The sequence below is a fragment of the Homo sapiens genome, chromosome 18 (assembly GCF_000001405.40).
Source record: "Homo sapiens chromosome 18, GRCh38.p14 Primary Assembly".
Taxonomy (NCBI): domain Eukaryota; kingdom Metazoa; phylum Chordata; class Mammalia; order Primates; family Hominidae; genus Homo; species Homo sapiens.
The window spans coordinates 10,023,614-10,042,692 of NC_000018.10; the positions used below are offsets into that span (position 1 = coordinate 10,023,614).

Here is a 19,079-nt window from a genome sequence, read left to right on the forward strand (position 1 = left end):
TGGAGAGGAGTGAAGAGTCTTTGCACTTTGCAAAGACATTTTGATGCCTCATCACCATCTTATGTAGCTGTCACATCACAAAAAAAGGAATAAGGGTGGAGAAAGTGTTCTGCTAAATGCATCTGTGTCCTAGGGACACAGATCTATGAAATGGGGTAGGATGATGAAGCAGGAGGGAAGGCTGGGCAAGTGGGGAGCAGGGCGGCACCCTGTGAGAGGGGAGGGCCACTGGGAGGGCAGAAATGGGAAAGATGGTGCCATGTCAGGATGTCGTTGCGATCTTGCCCTCATGATATTCAAGTTGCTTTTAACCTGCTGACCAATTTCTGGCAAGAATCCTAAAGAAATCTTAGACAGTGAAGTGAGATCTAACCATGAGTGAGTGTCACAGCCTCTTCACACTGGACAATCTCCTCCCACATTCGGCCCATAGAGGGGGAGGCCCACTCCAGCCAAGACTTGTCAACCAGAAACCTGAAACGATAGCAGGTGCTTCTAAAATAACCTTCCCTTCAGCAGATAGGCCTCTGTCATACGACTTTTAATTGCTTGTCAAATATTTGACTAAAATTGAGTAGTTTTCCTTCAGGGAAAGTTGGTACTCTTAAGTCACTAGCAAATGAGAAGTTGGTAAAAAAAATTGGCCAGAGCACTCTGTGTGTGTACACAGCGGCGAACGGTCAATACATAACAATTTTCTGCACTGCTAGAGATTCTGTTTAATGTTTAATTTAAAAAATGACCACTTATATGAGGTATCTAAAGTAGTCAAATTCATAGAGACAGAAAATAGAATATGGTTGCCGGGGCAGCGGGGACAGGGAAGGGGTGAGCTGCTGTTTGATGGGTGTAGAGTTTCAGTTCTGTGAGATGAAAAGGTTCCAGAGATCTGTTGCATAACAACATGAATATACTTAACACTACTGAACTGTACACTTAAAAATGGTTACAATAGTAAATTTTATGTTATGTGTATTTTAGTCACAAGTAAAAAAAATTGTAGAGGAATCCATGTGGAAAGTGAACACAGTATTGATTTTTATAGTTTTAACTTCCCTGACTGATCTAAATTAAAATGTCCCTGCTATGGGAAAGGGTAAAAGTCAGAAAGGAAATAACTTCCCTTTTACTGAATTTTAGTCAACTCCTTAGACAAAGAATTGGAGAGAGATATATATATGTATATATATATATTTGCTCACACATGTAAATAATTTGTTTTTGTTTTTGTTTTTTTGAGACAGAGTCTCGCTCTGTTGCCCAGGCTGGAGTGCAGTGGTGCGATCTCAGCTCACTGCAATCTCTGCCTCCAGGGTTCAATTGATTCTCCTGCCTCAGCCTCCTGAGTGGCTGAGATTACAGATACCTGCCACCACATCTGGCTAATTTTTGTATTTTTAGTAGAGATGGGATTTCGCTATGTTGGCCAGACTGGTCTCGAACTCCTGACCTCAGGTGATCTGCCCACCTTGGCCTCCCCAAAGTGCTGAGATTATAGTCATAAGCCACCACACTGGGCCATGTAAAGAATTTGAATACACTTCTTCACATTTCAGTAAAGCTCTTTGCATGTTTTTTTGTACAAAAGAAAATCATTTCAATACTTGTTAACTTCGCAGCCATTGTAAAAGATCACTAGTGAAAGATGCTTCTGGGTATACATCCAAAAGATTTGAAATCAGTGTCCTAAAGAGATAGTTGAACACCTGTTTGCATAGCAGAATTATTTACAATAGCCAAAAGGTAGAAGCGATCCAAGTGTCCACTGACAGATGACTGGATCTACTACTCACACAACGGTGAATTACATATTCACACAATGGAATATTATTCAGCCTTAAAAGAGGGGAAATTTTGACCCATGCTACAACATGAATGGACCTTGATGACATTATGCTAAGTGAAAGAAGCTGGCTGCAAAGCAAAAGACAAATGCTGTATGATTCCACCCATATGAGGTACCTAGAGCAATCAAATTCATAGAACAGAAAGTTGAAGGGTGGTTGCTGGGGCTTCCAGGGGGCGTGGTGGGGGTGAGATTTCGTGTTTAATGGATACTGAAGTTTTGTTTTGCAAGATGAAAAGAGTTCTGGGGGTGGATGGTGGCAGTGGTTGTACAGCAATGCTAATGTACTTGATGTCACTGCACTGCCCACTTAAAAATGGTTACATTTTTTGTCATGTGTATGTAACCACGATTAATACAGGCTATAAAAATACTGTTAAAGAAAAGAGCGCTAGTTAAGGAAGCAACTCATCATTTCGCCATCTGGGTCATTCATTTTAGGAGCCGCTGGCCAAGCCATGAGCTGGGCTCACAAGACTGATAAGAGCAGTCTGCATAACTCACTCTGGTGCTCCGCATCCAAAACCAACAGGGCCTAAATCTGGTTGAAACCCATAAGTCCTGCCTCACTCTCACTCTCTTCTTTCTGACACAGAGGTCCTCTTGTCTGGATCTGGAAAGCAGTTGAAATACATAGGACCTGCCCCTGCCCGTTTGGTGTTCTTCCCACATTCTGCAGCATTTGCAGTCCCCTTCATGCATTTCCATGTGTATGAGGAAGATTTTCCAACATCAAAGTAATTTTTGCCTTTCATCATTAAAGAAAGCCTTTGATTCAACCACAATCATCTCTGAATGAGGTAATTCCTCTGAATGTTTCACTTGTAAGAATTGGCAATTCCTAAGCAAGACCACCGCCATATTGATTAAAGACGTCCACTTGGTTGGCCCTTCCAGCCTCGCCAGGTCAAACGTAACTGGAGGCCGGCCTTCTCCCACCCCAGCAAGCTGCGTGGACAGGCGACTGTGTAATGGGAAAGCTGTGCCATGAGAACGTGTACTTCCTCCACAACCACACGCTCATGTGTTGTTTTGTAAGCAACATTTCTGCTGAGGAAAGAGCAGCTGGGCACTTAAGACTCCTGGCAAAACCATAATGGTGGAAAACAAAACTTAACCTATATTTCAAGAAAAGCTGTGTTCTGTTCCCCTGATCAGCATTAGCCTGTAGGTATTTAGTTGAATTAAATGAAGGGAATGATGAAATTAATCCACATTAAAAAGCAATGAATAGTGGATTCATTAACCCAGAGAAGAGGTGGAGGGCTGCATCGTAAAAACAAAGCTCAAAGCCAAGGCTCTCGCAGCCACACCCCTGGGGTGGCTAAAACTGCAGCCGCTTTGTTAATTCTCAATGAATAATTAACCGGAGGTAGAAATATTTTTGAGTTTTAGGAGCTCTGTGTCTGTCGGTGCATCGACTGTTTAATCGGAGGCCTCTACAGTCGGTAGTTTTGGTTCACCCTGATTTTAGACCTCTCTTCTGTTCTTCCTGTTTCAAGCTCCAAGGTGGCTCAGTCCTTTTCTTCCTCCTGCTGAATCTTAGGGGGAAATTCTAGAATTATCATCATCATCCCCTTTTACAGATAAGAAAGTAGAAAGTTAAACAAGTAATTTTCTCAAAGTCACATACTGAGAAAGAGGTTGGATCCGGGAAGGTGAAAGAGGTTGGATCTGGGAAGGTGGATTCAGTGGATTAAGTGAATTAAGTGGATTAACAGCCTGGCCCTTACCCCACCTGCTGGATTGCCTTATGTTACTGGGGTATTTGCTCCCCGTTTCTTCCGGCTTCAGTCAACAGGGGCCCTGCCACTGTCAGCTCCCACCATAGGAGGCCTTCTGCTGCCGGTCCTGAACTCAGAGCCCTGTGGGCACAGTGAGACCTGCTGGGCCCTGAAAGGAGAGCAGAGAGCAGAGTGGCCACTGGCCTTGGAGGATCAGAGTGGTGATCTGGATGTGCTGGGATGATGTTCTGGTTGGGTTTTCTAGTCCATTCTGCCTGGGGTATGACAGAATTCCTGCTGGCAGAATCCCAATCCTCCCCTTATTGACATACATGGTTGCTCCCTAGGAGGCAAACTGGTTCTGGGATGGGGAGGCTGGATGGCCTCAGCTGTCTGCCTCCAGCAGGACCTGGAACCCTGACCACCCATCTCCCTGGCCTCCCCATCTGTCCTTGTGGGTTTGATATGAAGGGGCATGGGCACTATCTGCCCACCTTAAGAATGAGGGCAGTAGGGAAGTCCATGATTTTCTTCAGGGGGTCTGGAACCCTCCCTGAAGGGTAATATTCTAGCATTTCCCTTACTAAAGCAGAACATCCTCCACTGCATTCAACACTTACCATGCACACGACACAAGGCTGGACGAGAGCTATGTGGCTGGGTCCCGAGACTGGCAGGCAGCTTGCATGCTTGATGGAAGCAAATCCTTGCTAAGATGTTTCTGTTTCATTCGACACCTAGATTTCATATGTCCCAAAATTACTTACTTAAACTTTTCTTTTTTCATTTTATACTTTGAGGCCCAATAACCATGTAAACCTTGGCTTATAGTTTCCTGACTACTCTCAGAGGGCGTCATTTGCAGTGATGTTTCTTCTAGACCTTTTTTTTGGGTACATTCTCCGGGTTCTATTGTATACTTCACTCTTTTCTCTGAAATATGTGATTATTGTTTAAAAGCACTGAGTGACAATCTACATAAGGTGGTGTGTGAAGTACTACGGTATTCCTGTTATTGCTACTAGGTTTGAGTCCATGACATCTAGTATCTTCTTGCCTCTCTTCCTTTTGACCTGACAGTTACCAGCCATCCACTCCCCTCTGGAAACTGAAATCTGCACAGGCACATTTCCTTCACAAAGAGTTCACTTGACCCTGACCCAAACGTCCTCAACCTTGCATTTGACCCAGATCTGGCCCTCCTCACTAAAGCCTCCTGCACTGGCCTCCATCTGCCCTGGGGCCCTTTTCTTCTCCCAGGGCAGTTGTTTTGGAGTCTGTTTATGGCCTGTGCAGACACTTGGCTGAAATTTACCTCAGTCTCTTTCCTTTTTTCATTGAAGTTCTTATCCATTTTCTAATCGTGTCCTGCCTCCAAAAGAAATTTCTCTGTTATGGTCTTCTTCAAGCATAGTTCTCTAAATTTCAAATGGTTTAGACAGAATAAGCTGTGACTGTAGAATTCTTGCCAGAATAAGCTATGACTGTAGAATGTGACAGGATAGGATGCCACCTCCTCCCCGGACTCACATTTGACTTGGACTTTGCCTCCCAAATCCTCCTGGACATCCATGTGGGACAATGACTGCAGACCTCATTGCTTCTCTGCCCACTCCTTCCCCTCATTTGATGTGCTTGTCACGTTACTGGGGTATCTGCTCCCTGTTTCTTCTGGCTTCAGTCAACAGGGGCCCGGTCACTGTCAGTTCCCACGATAGGAGGCCTTCTGCTGTCCGTGCTGAACTCAGAGCCCTGTGGGCACAGTGAGACCTGCTGGGCCATGAAAGGAGAGCAGAGGCCTAATGAAGGCTTGTGGCTAAGCGCCAGCATCTTTCACAAGAGGGATGACAGGTGAACCAAGTGAGGAAGAGGAGGAGAGTGAAGAAGGAAGGTGAGCTGGTTTATGCCCACAGAATTCCTGCAGAGTTAGGGCTGAACCTCACTCACACACGGCTGGTGGTACCTGGGCAGGACATTCTGCCATTCCCATGTACAGCACGGTGGGTTCCTGACACATATCTGAGGTGTTTTAGTGGGGATAAAGCTTTTCATTCCACTGGTTGAAAATGCTCAGGAGAAGTATGTCCACCTTGATGCTAGCCACGCTAAGGTGTGACCGCACCTGTGTAAATCCTTCAGAGAATGAGAGATCGGCTCAGAAGGGAAGAAGAGAAAACCTTGGGTTTGGGTCACAGAGGGAAAAAGAAGACACTGGGGAGGGGCCAGGGTGTTACCCTGTGTCTGTCTCTCAGTTCTGGACAATCTGGGCTCAAGTGCACACAGGTACAGGGACATCAGCTGGGCCATGGGGTCTGGGAGGAGATTGCCTGCTTCAGGAAAGAGGTGAGACCCTGGCGATGCCTACCATAGGTGTTATTATTTATTATGAGTCCCAGGGTTGGGGGATGTTCTAAGTGGTTTTCCCTCAGTTGAAGTGGGAAGAGAAAAATGACTGGGTGTGATTTTATGCCGCTAATACACAGAGATGATCCGCACTCTGGGGCACTTTAAAGTCAGCATTTTAAGAAGCGTTGTGAGTGATGTCGCAGCTGTGAATGGGTCTTGTCCTTCGCAGTGAGGTGAGGACTGGCTTTAAGCTCCTCCAGTCTGCCCCACAACATGTGAAATTCCCTTTGTGCTTGGTGTTTGTGAAAGAAGTGTCCACTCTTGGGACGAGAGCATCCTTATCACAAGTCCGGGCTCTGGAGCCAGCTCCCAGGGTTTTCATCAGGCCTCGCCACTGGCCAGCTGGGCGGCTTCGTGTGAGTTACTAAATCTCTCTAAACAGGGTCAGTGACACGATTTGTGAGGCCCAGCACAAAATGAAAATGTGAGACCCCTTTCCAAAAATTAGAAGAGGGCATGCAGCTGAGCACTTGGCACTGTGTTACTGCCTAGGTTGCTGCCCGTGGAGCTGGCCTGGTCTTCATTTCAAGTGGATTGAAATTGTGTGGATTCAACGCGTTATTACTAAAAAGGAGCTTAGAATGGGCATTCGTGTTACTCAGAGGTGCGACACACAGGTTCAGAGAAGAGCCTTCACTGGGGTCAGGCAACTAGGGTTTAGCCTTGCTGTCCCACAAATGTACAGGGCCTCAGATAAGTCCCTTCAAGCCTTTAGGGTCTCTACTTACCGAAAGGACAGGAAAGGCTTCCCTACATCCCTCAAGGGCAGAGAGAACTCGCATTCTCTGATAGGACGAGCAACTCATCCCAGTACGATGGGACTCCCAGGGTCTCCCTCTGTCAGGAGCAAACCAGGATGGCTGGTCACTACATTTACTGGGATTTTGTCAGGCTTTTCCTGTGCAACCTATGTGCCTCGTCTCATCTCACTTAATCTCCACCACAGTGCTATGTATGAGACAGATAACATCACCCTCCTGTGACAGATGTGAAATCTGAGTTTTGAGAGGCTACGTGTGGCTGGGGTTAGTTAGAATTGGGGCTGGACTGCTCTCATCTCCAAAGCCTGTGCTTTCATCTGCATCAGTGATCCTCAAATGTTCACATCAAAAAAATGGAGTGATCCTCAATTTGTTCACATCAAAATTAGTGGGAGAGGTTAGAACCCAGAGGTTCTGATTCAGCAGTTTGGAGAAGGGGCCTGAGAACGTGCATTTCTACAGTTCCCAGGTGATGCTCATGCTGTGGTGCCTGGACCCCACTTTGAGAACCACTGTTCTGGGCCAGCGTCCTCCGTCTTGGGCTTTGGAGATGCTCGGAGAGCAGCTGGAGAGCTTTGACAATGACAACCAGGACGGGGGTCCACCGCAGAGGCTCTGCTGTGATTGGTCTGGGGCATGGCGTAGGGGGAAGGGTTCTGGAAGCTCTCCCATCATGCAATGTCCGGGTACAGCCAGGGTTGGGGTTCCTGCTCTGTACCTTGCTGTGTCCCAATGTGTGAAGACGAAATGAGGCAGTGGGTGTCAAACGGCTCTGCCACAAATGCAGGTGTTAGGTCTCCTGGCCAGAACGCTGCCGGCGCAGAACCCAAATCAGATAGTCGAGTGCATGCCTGGGCCCTTACAAACGATTAAGACCAAATCAAGGCCAAAGAAAATGAATAACAGATGTCTGGGAGATGCTGAGGCCTTAAAAGTGTTTATCACGTCTGACTTTGAGAAAATATTGGCTGGGATCAGATAAGAGGCAACTCCCGGGGCCAGCGGTGCCTTGTCCTAAGGTGCCCGCTGAGCTCAGGAGGTGCGGGCTGCAGGGCCCCAAGCAGGCGCAGGCGTCCTCCAGCCCCGGCTTCGACAGCTGACTGCTTTCCTTCTACTTGGAAAATGCTTGCTCCACTTTAGCCCACTTGTGATGGTGTCGCGGAGTAGCAGCTGTGGGAAGGGGCTTCAGGAGTTGTGGTCCTGCTCAGACAGGATGCTTGGCATTTGGGGATGGGTTGGTGAAGTTAGAAACAAAACCAAAACCCACAAACACAACAAAACATCAAAATAACAATCTCCCCCTCAACACCCAGTTAAACTTGAATTTCAGATACGCAATGAAAAATTTTGGGATAAGTATGTCCTATGCAACACTCGAGATGTATTAATACTTATACTAAGAAATTACTGTCCGGTCGTGGTGGCTCACGCCTGTAATCCCAGCACGTTGGGAGGCCGAGGCAGGTGGATCACTTAAGGTCAGGAGTTCGAGACCAGCCTGGCAAACACAGTGAAACCCCCGTCTTTACTAAAAATATAAAAAATTAGCTGGGCGTGGTGGCGGGCGCCTGTAATCCCAGTTACTCAGGGGCTAAGGCAGGAGAATCGCTTGAACCCGGAAGGCGGAGGTTGCAGCAAGCTGAGATCACACCACTGCACTCCAGCCTGGGCAACTAGAGCGAAACTCCGTTTCAAAAAAAAAATTACTCGTGGGTTCTCTGCATTCCAATTTTAGCGGGCATCTTGCGTGTTCTCTGTACCCCTATCTGGGGAGGGCTTTATTTTCTTCAATGGCGTCCCCGCGTCAGAGCCTGTGTCTTGCACTCTCCCCCTGAGTGGGTAGCAGAGGTGTTATCACAAGAAGGAAGGTTCTGGGGAGTCGAATGACAGGCTTATGCCGCTAGCAGGGCGGGCGTGCCAGGGACTAGGCCGCTTCGCAGGTTCGCTTTTCTCCTTTCCATTGCGCTGAACTCAAGGAGGAGAAGGGAAAGTGGAAGCTGCTCCACACACAGCTGAGTGTGCATGGCTGCTATGTGACAGCCTGAGGTCTGTTCGGTGACCCCCGGCCCCTCAAAGGGCCCGCAAAGACTCAGAATTAGCTCCACTTACCACGGTGCCCGCGGATGGGGGTGCGGATCAACACCCCAGCGGAAGGCCGCTCCTGGGCCCCCAGGGCCTCGCTGGCGGCCACTTGGGGGCAGCAGGCGGCAGCAGACGCCCACCCTGCCGGGGAGGTGGGGCCCGCAGGCCCCAGGACCGCTCTAGGAGCCCGGAAGGCCTGCGCAGGTGGGGGGCACCGTGTTCCGGAAGCCTGGCCCCGAGCGCTGTGCGGGGCGCCCGGGGACGCTCAGCGAGTGTCTGTCCCAGCCCTGAGCTCAGTGAAAGATTGCAGAGTCCTGGGCCCACGAGGGGGTCTCCGCTGTGTCCAGACGCCCTTCAGAGCAAAGGAGCCACAGGCGGGCGCTCTCCCAGTGTCTCTCGGGAAGCGTGACCTCGACTTCATGCCCGGGAGAAGCGGCCAAGGCCGGGCCGCGCCTGTCCAGGGAAGCCTGAACGGCCGCCCTGGGGTGTGAAGGGTGCGGGTGGGGGTGAAGTTCCTGAAGGTGAGGAGGGACTCACGCTCGGTCAGATCTGACGGGGGTTAGGAAGGCAAAGAGTTATTTTTAAAGCTCAAGAAAAAGAGAAATGAACTTCATTTCCTTTTTGTTTGGCTCCAATTCCGTGCCTGACTATTCTTTTATGCTCAGGGTTGCTCAGCAGACACTGAGGCTGTGTTTTGTTCCAAGGGACTGAGATCAAATATTAGTTTAGCGAGGGTGAGAAACATGCTCTGAGTAACGTTCATTCCTGCTGCAGTAAATCTATGAGTGCCCGATGTGGGAAAATCAGACCCCGAGCCCAGCTGCCCAGACGAGCCTCTAGCGTTTTGCCTGTTTATGGACCTGCTGATACATTTAATGTCGGGAAGCCCGGGGAGGGCAAGGCTAACACCCATGCAGCCTTTCTAACCTCTTGTGGAACTAGGAAAACAGTGTGAGCTTCCAGGAGTGTGTATTTGGGAGGGGACACATATGCCTCCACACATAACAAAATCCGTGTGCATGCTTGTGTGTACCGTTTACATGTAGTGTGTGTGTGCACCTGCATGTGTGGGTTGGTGTGCATTTCTAGACGGCAAGAAATTCCAGTAGAACTTTTGACTTTCGTACTATTCTACAGACATTCTTTTCCATCCGTCCCCTGTAATGATGACTTCAATGGGTCAGATACTCTTGAGCCTTTTCATGAACGATCTTTGCTCCAAGTCTTCCCTCAGCTTCTCACTGCCTGCATCCTTCCGCGATTAGACTGGGATCTCAGTCTATTCCCAGAGGTCTGAGACTCTCGGCAGCCCAGCAGTCGTCAGAGAGACCATGGCGGGAGGGCATCTTAGCCTTCACTCCTTCTACTGCAGGTTTGAAACTCAGGCTCCCTTAAAGGTAAACCAGGATATCACACAGATAATAATAGTATGATAATAAACTCACATTTGTATGGTGAGTTAGGATTTACAGTTTCCCTACATTTTTTTCATTTAATCCCAGAGCCAGAGCCACCAGAACGTATGTGGTCCTCACATGTTCCTCCACAAAGAGACTGATGGAGAGACAATGAGGTTAGGTAGACAGCAAGAACAATTTTGGCCGCCTCATTTTCTCAACTAATTTGAGATTTCTCTTCCAGGCTGCTGGTGCCAAGAGATGGGTGGATCGACAGGTCTTGTTAGCAAGGACAAAGGAAATTGTTTTGTTATTGGCTTAGCTGTTATTTAAAATAAAAACATAAACATAATTAAAAATAAGCACTTTGGCCAGGGGCAGTGGCTCACGCCTGTATTCCCAGCACTTTGGAAGGCCGAGACCGAGGCAGGCAGGTCACTTGACCTCAGGAGTTTGGGACCAACCTGGCCAACATGGTGAAACCTCGTCTCTACTAAAAATACAAAAATTAGCCTGGTGTGGTGGCGCGTGCCTGTAATCCCAGCTACTGGGGAGGCTGAAGCAGGAGAATCGCTCGAGCCTGGGAAGCAGAGGTTGCAGTGAGCCAAGATCATGCCACTGTACTCCAGTCTCAGGGAAAGAATGAGGCTCTGGCAAAAAAAAAAAAAAAAAAAAAAAAAAAAAATTAGCCCTTTTGGTATGGCTGTGTTTTCTCTACACACATGAACAGTTTCTTTGAAAGGACAGCTTCCTTTTCCTGACTGTGCATCATCTGACCAAATTCCAAACTTCTGTAATTCAAGGAAATAATATACTTTGTGGAAAAATTAGAAAATATATATTAGCAAAGAAAGAATAAAGGCAAGCCGTGTGCAGCCCCATTACTCTGAGATGGCCGCTGTTGCTGCCATGGTGGGCCTCATCCCAGACTTTTCTCTATGCAAGCACAAACACACATGCTCAACTCAGTTTATTTTATTTTTACAAAACGGAAGTCATTCTGTACATACTGTTTTGTAATCAAAATTTTTCTTTTTGATATATCATGAACATTTTGCCCATCATGAAATATCCTTTTAAATTGTATGCAATTCCACTGTAAACATGTGGGTTTATTTGACATCTTTATTGTTGGGCATTTTATCTTGAGTGCTTAGAATGGAAACTAATTAACCCAGGATAGGAAGGTGCTCTATCTTTTATTCTGAAGATGTTATTAACATAGATTTCCATGGATGGTGTAATGGGCCTCTAGAGGGTGGGGCCAGGTGTGGCGATGGCCCAGGAGATTCTCAGGGGAGCCTCTTCCCTCAGGAGCCCCAGGAGGCACCTTTCTCTGTCTCCGTGGCATTTAGATCCGTGGAGTATGTTCACCTGAGTGTGACCTACAAGCTTAAGGTATTAATCCATGTTCCTCCCACATGGATTAATATCCGATGTGAAATTAGTAGGGAAAAAAAGACGTGCTCCGTGGCCACTGAGCCCTTCCCAGCGGGAGGATGCAGAAGTTGGAGGAAGAGATACTGTTACATCCCGCGGGCATTAGCTGCTTGTGGTTGGGAGGCATGCCTTTGATAATCAGCATCAGTATCTCTTTCATGTCACTGAACACAAAATGAGGCTGCATCAAAGAGCCTGTTTTAGAGAAGAAATTGTTGAACAGGCTTGACTGGGTTGAACGATACCAGAGGGGCAGGATCAGAGCACAGGCCGGTCTTCCCGGCCCAGCCAGGGGCACTCACTGGCCTGACTGCAGTTCCGGCAGCTCAGAGGTTGTCACAGTGCACGCGAGTGCCTCCCCACTCGACCCTTCCATGTGCTTGGCAGCAAGGGGCATGAGTCACCTGGTGGCCAGGTGTTTGTTACTCTGAGCTTTTGAGGTGCTGCAGAACTCCAATTACATAGCCTCCCTGATTTTTTTTCCCTCCTCTCTAATACTGACTTTTTGTTAATGCCAACCTACTAGTAGATACTTGTTCTTCTTCTGACACACTTGGGCATCCAACAAAAGCTTGCAAAAGAACAGCTTTTTGTTTGCTTGCCTTCAGGAATCTGGTTCAGTGAGCACTCCAGATATGGAAGGGCTTTATAATGATTCACAGCTTTCTTTGCTGGCCTTCAGGGGAACGTGACCTGCTTAGGTTCAATTTTGTGCATGTGTGACATAATTTTCCCTTCAATAATACAGACAAACCCTGATTCTAACTCCCAGTCGAACCCACTGGTCTTCTGATCTTTTTGCATTGCTAGCATTATTTAGTCTTAAATGAATTACTTTTTTAAAAAATGTTAGCACTATCTAAAGTGAGGAAAACTCTCACAAAGAGTTTTGTATGAGAATGAAAACACATGATGTGTTTTAAACATTGGAATCCCAGAAGGAAGAAACAAGGTAGTGTTTTCAGTTATTTCCACTGAGGAGGTTTAAACAGGATAGATAGTCATGTATTAAAATCCCCAACCACTGTTTAGGACCAAGCCAAAACTTTTAAAATAGCTTTTGAATGGAGAAATGAAAGGCTCAAAACCACTGGGTAAAGTTGGAGGAGGATCGCCTCTTCTCCCTGGAATGCTTTTGCTGGTTTTTGTCCTCTTTGGTTAGATCTCACTGGTCTCGTTCCTTCTTTCACTTTTAATTGGACTGCAACACCCAGGCAGAAAACTCAGTCCCAGAAAGGATCGGAGTGGCATGGCAAATGTGAGATCAGAGGCAGGAAACCATGATGACCTCTTAGCATGGGAATGAGCTTTAAAGAACAGTGCTGCCTATCCTGATCCGGGTACCAGGAGACAGACAGCCCCAAAGGAGTGATGTGCATTGGTGAATCCAGATGTAGACTTTTTTTTTTTTTTTGAGAGACAGGGACTCACTCTGTCATCCAGAGTGGAATGCAGTGGCGCAATCATAGCTCACTGCAGCCTCGACCTCCTGGGCTCAAGCGATCCTCCTACCTCAGCCTTCCAAGTAGCTGAGACCACAGGAACACACAACCACACCTAATTTTTAAATTTTTGTAGAGATGGGGGTCTCACGATGTTGCCCAGGTTGGTCTTGAACTTGTGGGCTCAAGTGATCCTCTGCCTCAGCCTCCCAAAGTGCTGGCATTACAAACATGAGCTATTGTGCCCAGCGAGCCACAGATTTTCTTTATTAGGATGGAAGGGCTGAACTTTTTTTGGAGGTGTGGTGTTGGAGAGTTGTGGGGGGGAGCAGTGTGGGCAGTACATTGTAGGGCGCTGAGGATGTTGTTTGTTTTGATCCATACCTTGGAATCAGGAGTAACAAATATCGAAATTGGGCCCCTACCAAAGAGTGTACGCTTCGGTCAATATAGGGTGAACAGCCTTACTAAGTAACTAACCTGGTCAAAATTATTACAAGCAAGCTCCAAGTAAGCCAACGCAGACCACCTGGTGATGGGAGGACTTTGCTAACCTCTGTGAGACACACAGCTTGGGCCAGTCCATACATGGTGTTTGCTTTCCACAGGGCTTCCCGGCTGGACTGGCACCTCCTCCTCACACTGAGAAGCTCAGGTTCCTCACTGGGCCCCAGCTTTTGGAACTCAGGCCCTGCATGGCATCTCTTGTGTCCCTGTGCTTGGTAAAAGGCCTGCGTGGTTTTGGGTGAATCCATGAAGCTGGGCCCCAGTGGACTCTGTTAGTGGCATTCTCGGTTTCCTTCCATCCCTGCATTGCTCCTTCTCAGATCCATCGTCCTCCTCCCACGTAGACATCTGTCTCAAGGGACTGTCCTCACCTGCCTTCTTCTCTTCCTCTCCCTCCTCCTTCTAATATTTTCTCATCTCAACCCCATGGTTTTGTCCATTTCCTTTATGCACGCTTGGCCTGCAGGTGCCTTGGGGAGAACCCACATTTTAGTTCATCTTTGTACCCAGTGGTGCTCAGCACAGCACCTGGCACACAGCGGGTGCTCAAGACATTTGTTAAATATGTAAATGTATTTTATACATTAAACAAGTACATAAATGATGGATAAAGATGACACAAAAATGAAGTCCACCAATAATGTAAGCGTTATCTTGGCTGGTGGTTTTGCCCAAGAGCAGGGAAGATGTGCCCAGGGGGAGGCTGGGAATGCCCTCTTGCCCTGGGAGATGACTGCCCTCCTGACCACGTGGCACACAGCATGAGCGGACTTTGAATATGTGCACTTCTGTTATGACTGCAACTGTTTCCTTGGGAGAAGGAACCAAAGTAAGGAGGTCCCGTGTAAGCCATTGATACCCGAGGCCCTGCAATCTGGCTTCTCCCTGCCAAGGGCATCAGAGAGAGCAAGGCTCTCAGTGTACTAATCAACCTGTGTCCGTCAAACACACATGGCTGTGCTATGCATGGCACAGGGGAATGACGTGATCAGTAGTAAGAGGAAGAAGACAGACTGGAAAAACCCAAAATGTGTGATATCTTAATAGAAATCCCATGATTAAATCAAGGATCAAGTTTTTTTGTTTTTGTTTTTTTTTCAGATGGGCTGTTAGGGTCCCTTAAAAGCCACATTCTCTGTCCTGGCATAGCCATCCTGGGTTGAGTTCAACAAGTGTGTACTGAGCCCAGGACATCTATACATAGGCAGGATATGCACACAGATCATTGCACACAGGGAGCATCTAAGGCCCCCTGCTGGTGCTGGTGCTAGTGCTAGGGTAATGAAGACAAGACATTTGTCTCCAAGAATCTCGCTGTCTGACTGGGGAGGCCAACATGGCAACGTGTAATTTACAAATAGCATGTGGAGTGCCCTGCTATTTGTGCTCAGGGACAGGGAGGCACAGAGGAGGCATTCTCAGTTCAGCCCAGGGGTCAGGGAAGGCTTCCTGGGGAAGGTGTCTTTGGGAATTAGGATGGGTTTCTCTGTTTGAGCACATCATCACTTATTTCCTTTGCACCGAGTCTCTTGAAAGCTGATACAAAGCGAGCTTGGTAGTCTTGCACTGGAGCTGGTTTGGCAGGTTGAAATCTGGATTAGTAAACCAAGGTTTCCCTGGATTGTCTAACTTAGTGGATACCTTGGGACAGGCTTCCTACCTCACCCTGCTGCAGTGTGCTCTCCTGAAACAAATGCCACAAATGCTTGATGTGATTTGCCACTAGCTGGTGCCTGGGAAGTCTGGGTGCCCTGTGGCACTCCTGCCTGGGACAATGTAATGGATTCTGGCAAATGCATGTCTCCCAGGCACTGGAAGTGCAGAGAGCCATGAGCTGATACTAGAGGTAGCTGCACTCACGTGCCGAGTGCAGAAATCGTACATCCATTGTTTACACAATCATAAATGGGAGCGTGACATTAAAAGAAGATTAAAAGAAAAAGGAAACAAGGAAAACCCAACCAACCAGGAGAACAAAATCTTTAATCCTAAACTCCCATGAATCAGTTTGAAACCAAACCATATATTTTTAATTTATTGAACTGAAAAAATAAGGGCATCAGATTGTTTTAAATTCAGCAGATTTCCATTTTGTTTGGCTTCCTGGCCACCTATAGGATGACTAATAAGAGGATTAAAGAGGCTGGGTGTGGTGGCTCACACCTGTAATCCCAGCACTTTGGGAGGCTGAGATGGGTGGATCACCTGAGGTCAGGAGTTTGAGACCAGCCTGGCCAGCATGGTGAGACCCTGTCTCTATTAAAAATACAAAAATTAGCTGGGCCTGGTGGTGGGTGCCTATAATCCTAGCTACTTGGGAGGCTGAGACAGGAGAATCACTTGAACCTGGGAGGCGGAGGTTGTAGTGAGCCGAGATTGCGCCACTGCACTCCAGCCTGGGTAACAAAGAGCAAAACTCCATCTCAAAAAAAAGAAAAAAAGAGGATTAGAGAGAAGCTGGAGCATCCTGGCACATGGCAGTGATGAGACATCAGGCTCCTTCCACTTGACTGCTGGAGAGCAGTTGTGTCATCTGCCCCCAGGTTTCCAGTGGGGCTGGTGGTTGAGGACACCCATGCCCCATCAGCAACTGTGCCCAGGCCTCCTCAGCAGCTGGAGGTTATTCTCGGCTTCTCTTTTCCACGTCTTGACTCTCAACTCAGTTTCCTCAACTGCAGAATGGAGATAATGCATGGCCTGCCTCCTCCATAGTGATTTTGAGTTTACTGTATTTGTATATATCTATATTGGAGTTAACTTTCATTGGGCTAGTTGACTTCATATTGAATTTTATAGACTTACACTGTCCAATACAGTAGCCACTAGTCACATGTGGCTATTTAAATTTAAATCTAAATTAATTAAAATTAAATAAAATAAGAGAGTGACATCTGTGAAAATGAGGGAGTAAGGATCTTCAAAAATTCCCACCTCCGTACAAGCAATGAGAACAGTGGCAAAAACTGTCAGAATCAACTTTTCAGGACTCTGGAAGTTAACCAAAGGCTTGCAGCAACTCGAGAAGTGTTTGCTCAAGAAAAATGTCTGAATCTTCATAAGAACAATGAGTTTTATGATGTTTTAATTTGCCCTATTTCCATACATACCCTTATCCCCTGGTCTCCATGGTAGTCTTGAAGATATGCAGCCTTCAATTACAGAGAAAACCAGCAGCCACTGGAGGGGGCAGAATAGGGATGGAGTGCCTTCAAAGGCCTATTTCCAGAGAGTTGTCAGCATTTGACCTTTCTGTTGGTTCCCTGGAAGATCTCATTCTCAAGGCTGTCTTTATTTGAGTTGACTTGAAGCTTTCCAAGTGTAAACAGACTTTTCTCCAGGGCTGTTTGTCAAAAAAAAAAAAAAAAGAAAAAAAAAGAAAAAAAAATCAGAGGCAATTATTGAACATCTCAGCGACCTGGATAACAGTTCACTGGATAACAGCTGGGGCAAATAAAAGGCTGACCAAAAAGCTTAAAAAGAAATTTGGGAAGTGAGACGTCCATACAGACTTTGAAAAGCTCCAACGTATTCCTAGGTCTCTAGAGAGCCATATTCATGCCCAGGGCTGAGCACATTCTCAGGAAAGACTGGATAAGGCCATGAGCTCTCATATTTGACTAGCCTTGAGATTCTGCACAAGTGGGAAGTGAACGATAAGGCAGAGTTGTAAACAGCCTGGCTGAGTCACACTGAGCAGAGACTGGTAGACTTATTGGTTCCAGGCACTTAAAGATGGCCTCTTTCTAATCATTAGCTGATCACAAAGCTAACCAAACAGAGATTTCAGTGGCCACAACAACAAAGGACATGGAATTTACATAATTAGTTCAGAAAAATCACCAACCAAACAAGCAACACATAAAGCAATGAATAACAAGAGCAAAATACTCTAGGGAGTGAGGTGTGGGGGGGATCTGATTTTCAGAGTTTCCATATTATATTTGCAAGAGGACAGATCCCTAGATGCCCTTGGCCAATCCAGCTCTTCCCCACTCTTCTTGTAATTCTTGGGCAGAATGTACCAAGGATACAATGTCCAGAGATAAGGAGAAAATGTCTGGAACAACCACAGCTGTGTCCTTATTCCTCCCAGAACAGGATGTTCTGCAATGCTCAAGCTCAGCAAACAAAGTGACATCCAGGGTATAAAATGCAGAGCAGAGTGCTTTCAGGGTCCCTCAGCTGGGATTTCACATGGGGCAAGCACAGATGAGACTCCATCTGCCCTGGGCAGCTTTCCTGAGCCTTGGGGGACTGGCTCACCATAAATCCTAAGCTTCTGTTTATCCTTGCTGCCTATTTGTGAGTAATAAAATCTGCTTTGCCTGACTTGTGTGAGTGTTCTGTTTCACCAGACTAGACTTAAAAGCCTTTGCAATATTATTTAAAATGTCTAGTTTTCAACAAAAATTATGACACATGCAAAAAATATGAAATATAGCTTTATAGAAAGGGGACAATAGCAATTAATAGGAACTGTGTCTGAGGAAGCCCTGATGTTGGACTTAGTAGATGAAGACTTTAAATCAATTACTTTAAATATGCACAAAGAGCTAAAGAAAATTATACACAAAGAAATAAAGGAAACCATGAGGATCTCTCACCAAAGAGACAATGTCAACAAAGAGGTGGAAATTATAGAAAGGAAGCAAATAGAAATTCTGGAGTTAAAAAGTACAATAATTTGAAATGACACATTCACCAGAAAGTTTCAAAAGAAGATTTGAGTAAGCAGAAGGAATAATTAGTGAACTTAAAGATAGATCAATGGTTATTATTCAGTCTGATGAGCAGAAAGAAAAAATAATGAAGGAAAATGAACAGAGATTAAGACACCTATTGAACACCACTGAGTGGGACCAACATAAACACAATACAATCCCAGAATGAAGAGAGAGAGACAGAAAGGGCAGAAAAATATTTGAGGAAATAATGGCCAAAAACTTCCCAATTTGATTTAAAAACCATTAATTTAACATCCAAGAAGCTCAACGAACTCAAAATAAGATAAACTCAGGCTGGGTGTGGTGGCTCACACCTGTAATCCCAGCACTTTGGGTGGCTGAGGCAGGTGGAACCCTTGAGCTGAGGAGTTTGAGACCCACCTGGGCAACATGGTGAAACCACGTCTCTACTAAAAATACAAAAATTAGCCAGGAGTGGTGGTGTGTGCCTCCAGTTCCGGCTATTCAGGAGGCGGAGGTGGGAGGATTGCTTGAGCCCAGGAATTCTAGGCTTCAGTGAGCCATGTTTGTGCCATTGCATTCCAGTCTGGGCAACAGAGTGAGACCATAAGACTCTGTCTTCACACCCCCCAGCCCCCCAAAAAAAGACAAACTCCCACACCTAGGCATGCTATAATAAAACTGTTGAAAGCAGTAAGAGAGAAGTGACTCATCACATATAAGACATACGTAAGAAATATTTTCATCGGAACCCACGGAGGCCAGAAAACAGTTGGATTACATAGTTGA

At 46.5% G+C, this 19,079-nt stretch overlaps 1 long non-coding RNA gene across 1 annotated transcript, besides 2 other annotated features; it reads right to left on the reverse strand.

Moving 5' to 3' along the window:
• Window positions 1-3,626: 3,626 nt before the first annotated feature.
• Window positions 3,627-5,332, reverse strand: LOC105371983 (uncharacterized). Its single transcript, XR_935135.2, has 3 exons — window positions 5,101-5,332; window positions 4,191-4,307; window positions 3,627-3,739 (listed from the first exon to the last, which is right to left on the reverse strand). It is a non-coding gene; the product is annotated as an uncharacterized LOC105371983 (long non-coding RNA).
• Window positions 8,857-9,006: a silencer, noted in NCBI's record as "silent region_9292". NCBI's record gives its function as "represses an Ori minimal core promoter by ATAC-STARR-seq in GM12878 lymphoblastoid cells {active_cell/tissue: GM12878}" and the evidence as "EXISTENCE:reporter gene assay evidence [ECO:0000049][PMID:35858748]".
• Window positions 11,467-11,968: an enhancer, noted in NCBI's record as "H3K4me1 hESC enhancer chr18:10035077-10035578 (GRCh37/hg19 assembly coordinates)". NCBI's record gives its function as "activates a minimal SCP1, AML or CMV promoter by ChIP-STARR-seq in naive H9 embryonic stem cells {active_cell/tissue: H9 hESC(naive)}" and the evidence as "EXISTENCE:reporter gene assay evidence [ECO:0000049][PMID:30033119]".